General features: G+C 43.6%; 1 long non-coding RNA gene across 1 annotated transcript in view; it reads left to right on the top strand.

Annotated features, from left to right (window-relative positions):
* The window catches only part of SRP54-AS1 (SRP54 antisense RNA 1), a 66087-nt gene extending 56615 nt beyond the window's left edge, over window positions 1-9472 (top strand). The window contains exons 3-5 of the long non-coding RNA NR_151701.1: window positions 4239-4363; window positions 5016-5452; window positions 9254-9472. This is a non-coding gene — a long non-coding RNA (SRP54 antisense RNA 1). The remainder of the gene's footprint in view (window positions 1-4238; window positions 4364-5015; window positions 5453-9253) is intronic.
* The last annotated feature ends 3591 nt before the right edge of the window (window positions 9473-13063 follow it).

Genomic DNA, 13063 nt, shown 5'->3' with positions numbered 1-13063 from the left:
GGAAAGGCAGGGATTATAGCTGACTATAATTTTAGGCTTCATTAATTAAAACTGAACCAAATGAACATTGTCCCTATCTATTCTTGCTTGGTCAGACCACACTATAATTTCAAAGAAACATTCATAAGCCAAAGGTGTCTGTGTTAATCCATTTGCATTGCTATAAAGGAATACCTGGCCAGGCACCATGGCTCATGTCTGTAATCCCAGCACTTTGGGAGGATGAGGCAGGTGGATCACCCGAGGTCAGGCGTTCGAGACCAGCCTGACCAACATAGAGAAACCCTATCTCTACTAAAAATAGAAAATTAGCTGGACGTGGTGGTGCATGCCTGTAGTCCCAACTACTCGGGAGGCTGAGGCAGGAGAATCTCTTGAACCCGGGAGGCAGAGGTTACGGTGAGCCGAGATCATGCCATTGCAATCCAGCCTGGGTAACAAGAGTGAAACTCCGTCTCAAAAAAAGAAACAGAGAGAGAGAGGAAGAAAGAGAAGGAAGGAAGGAAGGAAAGAAAGAAAAGAAAGACAGACCTGAGGCTGGGATAACTTTATTTTATTTATTTATTTATTTATTTATTTATTTATTTATTTGAGCTAGAGTCTTGCTCTTGTCGCCCAGGCTGGAGTGTAGTGGCACGATCTTGGCTCACTGCAGCCTCCCCTTCCAGGGTTCAAGCGATTCTCCTGCCTCAGCCTCCCAAGTAGCTGGGATTACAGGTGCCCACCACCACACCTGGCTAATTTTTGTATTTTTAGTAGAAACGGGGTTTCACCATGTTGGCCAGGCTGGTCTTGAACTCCTGACCTCATGCTCTGCCCACCTTGACCTCCCAAAGTGCTGGGATTACAGGTGTGAGCCACCGCGCCCGGCCTTGGGTAATTTTAATTTATAAAGAAATGAGATTTATTTTGGCTCATGGGTTCTGCAGGCTGTACAGGAAGCATGGTGCCAGCACCTGTTTCTACTGAGTGCTTCAGGAAGCTTACAGTCATGGCTCATAATGCCAAGGGGAGCCAGCATGCTACATAGCAAGAGAGGGAACAAGAAAGAGAGCGAGAAGGAGGAGGTTCCAGAAGGAGGTGGAGAGAGAAGGAGGCGAGTCTTGCTCTGTTGCCCAGGCTGGAGTGCAGTGGCACGATCTCAACTCACTGCCTCCCACGTTCAAGCGATTCTCCTGCCTCAGCCTCCTGAGTAGCTGGGATTACAGGCACCCACCACTATGCCTGGCTAATTTTTTTGTATTTTTAGTAGAGATGGGGTTTCACCATGTTGGTCAGGCTGGGCTCAAACTCCTGACCTCAAGTGATCCACCTGCCTCGGTTCCCCAAAGTGCTGGGATTACAGGCGTGAGCCACCGCGCCTGGCCCCAGACTCTTTCAAAAACAATCAAATCTTGTGTGAACTCAGAGAACTCACTCATGACCAGGAGGAGGGCACCAATCCATGCATGAGGGTTCCACTCCCATGACCCAAATACCTCCCACCAGGCCCATCTCCAACACTGGAAGTCACATTTCAACATGAGATTTGACAAACATCTAAACTATATCAATATCCATAGAAGGCTAACCAGGATAATAGGACTTTGGAACTATGTCCTATGAAATTGCTAAAGAAATAGTTTTCTCCACAGAAGAAAAGCCAGGGGAGATGGGGTCAATATGTCTTCCAAAGTCTGAAGGAGAGTTATGTGGCAAATACCAAATTTACTATTTGTGACTTCAGAGGACAAAGCCTCTGGATCAATGTTCAGAAACTCCCGTGTAGACAAAGTTTATCTGAATATAAGTACATTCTAGCCATTAGGATTGTAGGCTGCATTTTTTTTTTTTTTCGAGACAGAGTCTAGCTCTGTTGCCCAGGCTGGAGTGCAGTGGTGCAATCTTGGCTCACTGCAACCTCCGCCTCCCAGGTTCAACCAATTCTCCTGCCTCAGCCTCCCAAGTAGCTGGAATTACAGGAGCCCACCACCATGCCTGGCTAACTTTTGTATTTTTAGTAGAGATGAAGTTTCACCATGTTGGCCAAGCTGGTCTCAAACTCCTGACTTCAAGTGATCTGCCTGACTCAGCCTCCCAAAGTGCTGGGATTACAGGCGTGAGCGACCACACCCAGCCAACATTAATCCATTTATGAAGGTAGAGCCTAATCATCATCCCACCTTTTAATACTGTTACAATGGTAATTAAATTTCAACATGAGTTTTGGGAAATGACAAACATTCAAACCATAGCAGATGCTATGCCGCTGGCTTCAAAGGTAGAAGAAGGGGCCGTAAGCCAAGGAATTCAGGCAGCCTCTAGAAGCCAGAAGAGGCAAGGAAATGAATTCTACTCCAGAGCCTCTGTGGGGAATACAGCCCGCCAGCACCTTGATTTTGGTGAAACCCATTTTGAGTCTTTTCTGCCTAGATGGAGCTCTCTTTTTTCATTTTTTTGAATATTTTTCTGTGGAGATCTTAAGTACTTCCCATAACTTCAACTCTAGCTTCTCTATAAATAACACCCCAAATCATATCTCTTCCCCTAATCTCTCTTGAGCTCTAATCCCACATAACTAATTAGCAGACATTTTTATTTGGACATCCTGAAATAGTTTTAAATTCAATATGCCTCCAGGAAGAAAGATGCAGGGATTGAGAGTTTAGAATGCAAAGGGGTAATGTGGTCTTTCCTTCAAAGAGGAAAAACAAAGCCAACTTATTTTCTACAAAAAACAGATCCAAAATTGAGCAAAATTGGCCATGAAGAATTCTGATGACAAAATTGCAAGTGCTTTTGTGCAGCAAACTACATAGAGGCTTTTAAACTCCAAATGGGATAAAGTTAAAAGATTTTTTTTCCTGGCCGGGCACGGTGGCTCACGCCTGTAATCCCAGCACTTTGGGAAGCCGAGGCGGGCTGATCACAAGGTCAGGAGATCGAGACCATCCTGGCTAACATGGTGAAAACCAGTCTCTACTAAAAATACAAAAATTGACTGGGCATGGTGGTGGGTGCCTGTAGTCCCACCTACTTGGGAGGCTGAGGCAGGAGAATGGCGTGAACCTGGGAGGCGGAGCTTGCAGTGAGCCGAGATCACACCACTGCACTCCAGCCTGGGCGACAGAGCAAGACTCCGTCTCAAAAAAAAAAAAAAAAAGATTTTTTTTCCTTAAGTTGTCCTTTTTCAAAATTTTATTAAATATTATGTTCTTTTTAATTCTTATTATTTATACTATCTTTTTGAGACAGAGTCTCGCTCTGTTGCCCACGCTGGAGTGCAGTGGTGTGATCATGGCTCACTGTAGCCTCAACCTCCTGGGCTCAAGTGATCCTCCCCCCAACCCCCTGAGCAGCTGGGACCACAAGTGTGCCACCACACCCAGCTAATTTTTAAAATTTCTTATAGAGACAGGGTCTCCCTATGTTGTCCAGAGTGGTTTCAAACTACTGGGCTAAAGCAATCCACTGGCCTTGGCCTCCCAAAGTGTTGGGATTACAGGCATGAGCCACTGCACCCGGCCCAAATACTATGTTCTTAACAAGAAAAATGATACTTATAATATCTGGACATGAGATGCATGTCTTCAGCCATCTCTTTCAAGAGTAGGCTGAGCCCAGTGAAGTGATAGATAATAAATGTGAATTAAAACTACAGGGAACCACATACCATTGTGGTTTAGAGTGCAAGCACTAGAGTTAGGTAGTTTGGATTGGGGTCATAGCTCTAATATTTGTTGGATGAATAACTTTGGAAAATCTTGTTATCCTCCTTTGCCTCCGTTTCTTCATCTATAAAATGAAGATAGGCTACGCACGGTGGCTCACGCCTGTAATCCCAGCACTTTGGGAGGCCGAGGTGGGTGGATCACGAGGTCGGGAGATCGAGACCATCCTGGCTAACACGGTGAAACCCCGTCTCTACTAAAAAATACAAAAAATTAGCCGGGCGTGGTGGCGGGCTCCGGTAGTCCCAGCTACACGGGAGGCTGAGGCAGGAGAATGGCCTGAACCCGGAAGGCGGAGCTTGCAGTGAGCTGAGATCGTGCCACTGAACTCCAGCCTGGGAGACAGAGTGAGACTCCGTCTCAAAAAAATAAATAAACAAAATGAAGATAAAGTATCTACTGCATAGGGTTGTTATAAAGATTAAAAGATAATACAAGTAAAGATCTTTTCATTTTAAACAAGAAGTTTATTTAAACAAGACACTTGAAGGGAAAACTATCTAGGATTCTTTTTTTTTTTTTTTTCAGAGTAATTTATCCCTACTTACAGAGAGATTGCCCTACGTGTAACAGCTGCATACAAAAAAGTTATAAAATTATCATTGGTTTAACAAGGATAAGTGAAAAACATTAAAATTCTCCAACTGAACAAGGTATGCAAGGATTTTTATCTTGTTGTTGTTTTGTTAAAATAGTAAGAGCAAAATAACTTACTGGAATATAAAGATAAGAGCTGAATGAGCATGCCACTAATGGAGAAAGGGGGTATTTTCACAGAATCAGTATTTTTTCCCATTCCATCTCCACTTGATGTCAGTCAAAACGTACCATTGCTATTTAGTTTAAAAAATGCAATATGGGTTGGGCGCGGTGGCTCACTTCTGTAATCCCAGCACTTTGGGAGGCTGAGGTGGGTGGATCACCTGAGGACAGGAGTTTGAGACCAGCCTGGCCAATATGGTGAAACCCCGTCTCTACTAAAAATACAAAAATTAGCCGGGCGTGGTGGGTGCCTGTAGTCCTAGCTACTCAGGAGGCTGAGACAGGAGAATTGCTTGAACCTGGGAGGTGGAGGTTGCAGTGAGCTGAGATCGTGCCACTGCACTCCAGCCTGGGTGACAAAGCAAGACTCAGCCTCAAAAAAAAAAAAAATGCAATATGTGTGTCCACATATACCAGTTACTTTATGTACAATAAAAAAATGGGAACTGGAGTAAAGAAGCAGGTTCCCTTTTCAGTAGACACCTCCTATCTGCTGGTGGAACACATCAATTATATCTATATCCTCCATTTCCACCTGTACAGGTGTGTCTGTTTCATTGATTGGCTGACTGTCAAATCGGAATCTGATCTGCCCCATTGACAATGCCTTGGGCTTTTCCTCGGCCATGGCAAATGCCAGAGTCTTCTCAGCTGCCGCTTCACAAAAGAGGTACCAGCTTCTCACTGAACGAACACAGTGCAGCACCAGGAGTGACAGAAGAAGGAGGCGGCAGCGGTGGTTGAGGGACAGGGTGCGTGCACGTCCAAGTACAGTTCTTAAAATGTTGAGGGCATACAACATATGCTCAATAAATACCTGATTTTTAAAAAAGACAATGACTATGGAAAACTCTTGATCATTAACCCGAAGGGAGAGTCTAGTTTCCAGGAAGCATTTGTTTGTATACACTATTTAACCCAAGGATACACTCTTTTCTCCGTGGCAGCGTGACTCATCTTAGTCTCCAATTTTTGACCTGGTAAGGCATCTTTTTTGGTCTCTTAATTTCTGGCTCACTTGGCCCTGATTTGATGTGAATGTTCTTACTGACATCCCAGTGACTGATTCTCAGCACACCACAACCCCTTTTGGTTCCTACCCTATCTTCTCTGTGTTGGCAACTGGACTCGCCTATTCTTCAGGACTTTCAGGAGTGCACACTCTGGTAGCTCTCTATTGACTTTACTGCTCACTCATTCTTTTTCTTTTTTTTTGGAGACGGAGTCTCGCTCTGTTGCCCAGGCTGGAGTGCAGTGGCGCGATCTTGGCTCATTGCAAGCTCCGCCTCCCGGGTTCACGCCATTCTCCTGCCTCAGCCTCCCGAGTAGCTGGAACTACAGGCGCACGCCCGGCTAATTTTTTTGTATTTTTAGTAGAGACGGGGTTTCACCGTGTTAGCCAGGATGGTCTCGATCTGCTGACCTCGTGATCTGCCTGCCTCGGGCTCCCAAAGTGCTGGGATTACAGGTGTGAGCCACCGCGCCCAGCCTACTGCTCACTCATTCTAACAGAGCAATGTCCCAGTTCTGACTTAAGCTCCCAGAAGAACTTCTGTGATTCTAGCAAGTTGTTATTAAAAGGTATTGAGGCCAGGCATGGATGTCCTTGCTTGAAATCCCAGCACTTTAGGAGGATCTCTTGAGGCTAGGAGTTCAAGACCAGCCTGGACAACACAGCAAGACCCCCTCTCTACAAAAAATACAGGTGCACACCACCATGCTTATGCCAGCATGCCCGCTACTTAGGAAGCTGAGGTGGGATGATTGCTTGAGCCCAGGAGTTCAAGGCTGCAGTGAGCTATGATCACACTATTGCACTCCAATAGAGTGAGAACCTGTCTCTAGGGAGGAAAAAAAAGAGATATTGGATTCACTGTCCTATCTAGAATGAAAGTTTTTCATTCTAAATTAGCATAACCATCATTAACTACCTACCTTCCTAGCACTGACTGACCACCCCACCATTTTCCCCTTTAGTGAATTCAAAAAAAAAAAAAAAAAAAAAACAGGTGTTGAAATTGAGCAAGGGAGAGGGGCCTTATATATATTTGTGCTTCTCTAAATCTTATTGGATATGATGTGCAAAAATATGCCATTAAGACTATACTTTCAGGGATCATTTCTATAGTTTGTTACAAACATATGCCATTAATAGCTTGATAGGTCATACTTTAATACTTTTTCTTTCTAATAAATAGATATGCTTTTTAAAATTTGGCTAAGTTACGGGCAAATCTATATTCTCTTACCCAAATCAGATAATAGACTAGACAGTAAGCCCACAAAACCATAAACCAGGCACCACCATTCACTCGGTAGCCAGTACCTGAGTTATAAATACAGTGACTCACAGAAAATAATAAATTTTCATTAGGCTGGCCTCCCCCAAGTTAAATCTGTAACATGAAACAGCCATTTTAAAGTGGTGTCTAGGCAGGGCATGGTGGCTCACACCTGTAATCCTAATACTTTGGGAGGCTGAGACAGGCAGATCACCTGAAGTCAGGGGTTCAAGATCAGACTGGCCAACATGGTGAAACCCTATCTCTACTAAAAATACAAAAATTAGCCGGATGTGGTGGTGGGCCCCTGTAATCCCAGCTACCTGGGAGGCTGAGGCTGCAGTGAGCGGAGACTGTGTCACTGCACGCCAGCCTAGGTGACACAGTGAGACTCTGTATCAAAAAAAAAAAAAAGAAAGTACTGTCCAATGACCAATACAATGTATGTAGAGAGAAGAAAAAGTGTCAATGTTGATTACAAAGATAAAAAATGGAAAAAAATTATAGAAAGAAATGGTCAATGGCCATAAGAGGGATAACCTTCTGTGGAAGATGTATACAAACCATAACTTTGTTGAAAAATAACATTTACATAGCACTTCACAATATACTTTTCTTACACTCCACCTCATTTGTTCCTTGTAACAGTATTCTAATGTTGGTGCTCTTATTGTTCCTATTTTTAAAATGAGGAAATTACAGCTGGGCACAGTGGCTCACTCGTGTAATCCCAGCACTTTGGGAAGCCCAGGCGGGCAGATCACCTGAGGTCAGGAGTTTGAGACCAGCCTGGCCAACATGGCAAAACCCTGTCTCTACTAAAAACACAAAAATTAGCTGGGCATGGTGGCATGCGCCTGTAATCCCAGCTACTCAGGAGGCTGAGGCAGGAGAATCACTTGAACCCGGGAGGCAGAGTTTGCTGTGAGCTGAGACCACGCCATTGCACTCACTGCAGCCTGGGCAACAAAGACAATTACACTTGCCCTGATTCCAAGTCCTGGACTTTTCCCATTACATCATGCTGCCTCACCTAGTACATAGGACACAGTTAAATGCATAGAAGAACTTCACTAGATAGGCTTGTAAATTTCATTTTTAGGAATCTTCAAGAGGCGCATATGTCTTATATAATTTTAACCAATCTGGCAGCAGATTTTTAGGCATTATAATCTTTTGAGGTTCTTTTCTGCTATTTCATTTTCAATTACTGTCAAACTACTTCTCAGTACTGCTTATGACTTATGATATCTACCCCCACTGCATATGGTAAATTTTAATGTTATGTATATTTTACCACAATTTTAAAAAATAAATTGAAAAAAAATTTTTTTAGTGAAACAGGGTCTCTTTGTCACCCAAGGCTGGAGTGCAGTGGCACAATCATGGCTCACTACAGCCTCCTGGGCTCCAGTGATCCTCCCACTTGAGCCTCCCAAGTAGCTGGGACCATAGGTGCATGCCACCAAGCCCAGCTATTTTTGAAAATTTTTTGTAGAGAGGAGGTCACACTATGTTGCCCAGGCTGGTCTTGAACTCCTGGGCTCAGGTGATCTTCCTGTCTTGGCCTCTCAAAGTGCTGGGATTACAGGTGCAAGCCACCATGCCGAGAATTTAAAATATATATATATTTTTATTTTATTATATTATTATTTGCATTATTATTATTATTATTTTTGAGACAGAGTCTCATTCTGTCACCCAGGCTGGAGTGCAGTGGCACAATCTTGGGTCACTGCAACCTCTGCCTCCCGGTTCAAGCAATTCTCCTGCCTCAGCCTCCCAAGTATCTGGGATTACAGGCACTGCCACCACACCTGGCTAATTTTTGTATTTTTAGTAGAGATGGGGTTTCACCATGTTGGCCAGGCTGGTCTCAAACTCCTGACCTCAAGTGATCCACCCGCCTTGGCCTCCCAAAGTGTATTTTTTTTTTTTAAGTAGGGTCTCATTTTGTCACCCAGGCTGGAGTACACTGGCATGATCTCAACTCACTACAGCCTCAGCCTCCTGGGTTCAAGTGATCCTCTTGCCTTTTTACCCCACCCCACCTCCCTGACCCAAGTAGCTGGAACTACAGGCCCGCACCACCCTGCCTGGCTAATTTTTTGCATTTTTTTTAGAGGAATGGGTTTCACCATGTTGGCTAGGCTGGTCTCAAACTCCTGAGCTCAAGCAATCCACTCACCTCAGCCTCCCAAAGTGCTGGGATTACAGGCGTGAGCCACTGTGCCCAGCCTAAAACGATAATTTTAAAAGCATAGGAAATATGAGTCCTTAGCTCTATTATTGAAAGCCTCTATGACCTCCATGTTTGTGTTACAAAATTATCAGTTAAGCCACTATCGCATGGAAACACCAGATACAAATGTGAATTTAGTTAAAGAGTTGTGTGTTTGTGTGTGTGTGTAGACAGTGGATATCTTGTCTACTTTAGATGTGATTCTTCTTCCAACTGATTCGCCAGAAGCATCAGGCCTCTTTGCTTCTTTTCTTCAGTGTCCTGCGCCTTGGCTGTTACAGGTGGAGGTGGAAAAGAAATTGCCATTGATGCTGCAAATAACTTCCTTCACCTTCTAACCTGGAGATTCATTGAAGGAAGAAAAAAGGTGACTGTCAGAGTCCCTGCTGGCCATGCCTCTCAGCCACAGGACCACTGAGCCACTTAATTCCTCCCCAGGGTCAGATGTGCCCCAGCACCAGGTTGTTTATGGATACCCTAACCACCTTTTCACACTCCTTGAAGTTTAGCTTTAAATGTTTTAAGAATTAGCAAAGTGGGCCGGGCACGGTGGTTCAAGCCTGTAATCCCAGCACTTTGGGTCGCTGAGGTGGGCGGATCACCTGAAGTCAAGAGTTCCAGACCAGCCTGGCCAACATGGTAAAACCCCATCTATGCAAAAATACAAAAATTAGCCGGGCATGATGGTGAGTGCCTGTAATCCCAGCTACTCGGGAGGCTGAGGCAGAAGAATCACTTGAACCTGGGAGGCAGAGGTTGCAGTGAGCCGAGATCTCACCATTGCACTCCAGCCTGGGCAACAGAGCGAGACTCCATCTCAAACAACAACAACAACAACAAATTAGCAAAGCTGATTATTTGATCTTGGTGAGTACTGGCTAATGCTGAAGGTTATTTCAGAACGTTGACCCTGGCCAGGTGTGGTGGCTCACGCCTGTAATCCCAGCACTTTGAGAAGCCAAGGCAGGTGGATCACCTGAGGTCAGGAGTTTGAGACCAGCCTGGCCAACATGGCGAAACCCCATCTCTACTAAATATACAAAAATTAGCTGGGCATGGTGGCGGGCACCTGTAATCCCGGCTACTTGGGAGGCTGAAGCAGGAGAATTGCTTGAACCCGGGAGGCAGAAATCGCAGTGAGCAGAGATCGTGCCATTGCACTCCCTCCTGGGCAACAAGAGCGAAACTCTGTCTCAAAAAAAAAAAAAAAGAATGTTGACTCTGATCAGTAATTCTACAAGAAATTAAGAAATTATTATCACATTTGGCAAAGGGAAAGTTGTTTAGTTAGCACTAAATAAGGTGGTGGCAGGACACAGTGGTCACGCCTGTAATCCCAACATTTTGGTAAGCCAAGGCAGGCAGATCACATGAGGCCAGGAGTTTGAGACCACCACGTGGCGAAACCCCATCTCTACAAAAAATACAAAAAATTAGCCAGATGTGGTGGCACAGCTACTTGGAAGACTGAAGTGGGAGGATCACCTGAGCCTGGGGAGGTCGAGGCTGCAGTGAGCTGTGATGGCGACACTGCACTCCAGTCTGGGTGACAGAGTGAGACCCTATCTGAAAAATAAAATAGCTGGGCACAATGGCTCACACCTGTAATCCCAGCACTTTTTGAGGCCGAGGAGGGAGGACTGCTTGAGCTCAGAAGTTTGAGATCAGGGTGCGCAAACATGACAAAACCCTGTCTCTACAAAAAATTTTAAAATTAGCCAAGTGTGGTGGTGTGAGCCTGTGGTTCCAGCTACTCGGTAGGCTGAGGTGGGAGAATCACCTGAGCCCAGGGAGGTCAAGGCTGCAGTGAGACCTGATCGAAACACTGCACTCCAGCCTGGGCAACAGAGTATGAGACCCTGTCTCAAAAATAAATAAATAAAATAAAGTGGTAAAGACATATTAAAATTAGTGCCCCTTATGTGATTAAAATATATCATCACTATCATTGTTTTGGAAAGTTGAGAAGTATTAAATATCAGTATTTTACGAATCATGGTCATTTTTCCTTTGTTGAATGTTCAACATACATTTTTTAAAAAAGAAGTCTAGGCTGGGCACAGTGGCTCACGCCTGTAATCTCAGCACTTTGGGAAGCCAAAGCAGGTAGATCACGAGGTCAGGAGTTCAAGACCAGCCTGACCAACATAGTGAAACCCAGTCTCTACTAAAAATACAAAAATTAGCCAGGCGTGGTGGCACACGCTTGTAATCCCAGCTACTCAGGAGACTGAGGCAGGAGAATCGCTTGAACCCAGGAGGCGGAGGTTGCAGTGAGCCAAGCTTGCACCACTGCATTCCGCGTGGGGGACAGAGCGAGATTCCATAAAAAAAAGAAGTCTATTGAAACCATTTTTCTAGCAAACAAAAAAAACAAGTTTAGAATAGTTTTACTAGGAAACCTTTATCTTCAGCAGGATACAGGCTAAAAAAATTTTTTTAATAAAAAAAAGGAAACCTTTATCAAAATTCTCACTAACCTTATAGTGAATAGAAAGTATACGTTAAGAAGTAACAAAAGATATCTGAAGTCTAAAAACAACTCACCTGCCAACAAATTATATGATCTTGGACAAGTCACTAATCACTGCTTAATCATTGTTTCTTCATCAGCAACCTGGAGGTAATAATGCATCTCCAACCTAGCTGAGATGGAAGTTTACATACAGTAAAATAATGGATGAGTAAGTGCTTTGGAAAGCATTGCATGCTGCACTTATAATTATTGTTGTTAATAAAGATAGTTTTAAACAAAAACCATGGTAAGGAGAGGGAGAAAGACAAATTGAGAGATATATATCTATATATCTTTTTTATTATTTATTATTATTATGATACTTTAAGTTTTAGGGTACATGTGCACAACGTGCAGGTTTGTTACATATGTCTACATGTGCCATGTTGGTGTGCTGCATATCTTACATTTATACATATCTTACATTCATACATATCATATGTACATATATATACATATGATATGTATAAATGTAAGCCTAACACAAGATGGACAATAATCAAGAAATTTTAATTATTTTTATTCTATCCTATTAAACTAATTATTCTTTTTTTTTTTTTTTTTTTTTTTTTACAGTAGAGACCAGGTTTTGCTGTGTCACCCAGGCTGGAAGGCAGTGACACAATGATCATAGCTCTCTGCAGTCTTGAACTCCTGAGCTGAGTGATCCTCCCACCTTAGTCTCCTGAGTAGCTGGAACTAATAGGTGCGCACCACCATGCCCGGCTAGAATAATTATTATTGTCCTATTTAAATATTATTTTCATACTTGAAACAATATTTTCCTGTGGTTTAGCCCTACTCAGATATTAGTGGAAAGCAGCTGACACATGTAGTCCAAACCACAGTTTCATTAAACTAATGAGAAACTACCAGTCTATCCTTGGAATCCTGGGTTGTTCCAGAGGCGTAGAGTAGGATTAGCACAGATCTAAGGGACTCAAGCGAGTGGGGGTTCCTTATCACCAAAACCGTAAATGTATTATAGATTCTCCTGGGAGTTCTGCTACGTTTCAGATAGTATGTGCTACCAGGGGATTCCAATTAGCATAAGCATAAGAAGTAACAGGACCAAACTGGGTTTTTTGTTTCACTAGAATTATCCTTTCCTGGGCATTTTCTGGAATTTAAGTACGACCCGATGATACATTAGATAACAACTGATCAGATTAGATGCCCTAAACGTCCCAAATCATCAGGGACTAGAGATTGAGTTACGATTGTCCCAATAGTATAAATTTGTGGTTTTGTGGGTTCAGTCTAGGTCCTGCTGCTCGCTACACAGAAAGCCAATGACTGAGACAACGGGTATTGCCAAGGCAAAAGGCTTTGACCAGGTGCTGCAGTGGAGGAGATGGGAGTTCAGTCTCAAATCCATCTCCCCTGCCGACTAAAATTAGGAGTTTATATAGCAGGTAAGAAATATAACAATGTGTAGGAAAACAAGAACTCGGGGAAGGTTAAGGAAGCAATCATGATGAATGAGGGGCCTGGCCTCTCATTGGATGAGATGATCCAGTGAGTTTCAATTATTTGATACTTTCCCAGAGGT

The sequence above is a fragment of the Homo sapiens genome, chromosome 14 (genome assembly GCF_000001405.40).
Source record: "Homo sapiens chromosome 14, GRCh38.p14 Primary Assembly".
NCBI classification, from domain to species: domain Eukaryota; kingdom Metazoa; phylum Chordata; class Mammalia; order Primates; family Hominidae; genus Homo; species Homo sapiens.
The sequence above is the reverse complement of the archived record's forward strand: the minus strand, read 5'-3'. Positions and strand labels throughout refer to the sequence as shown.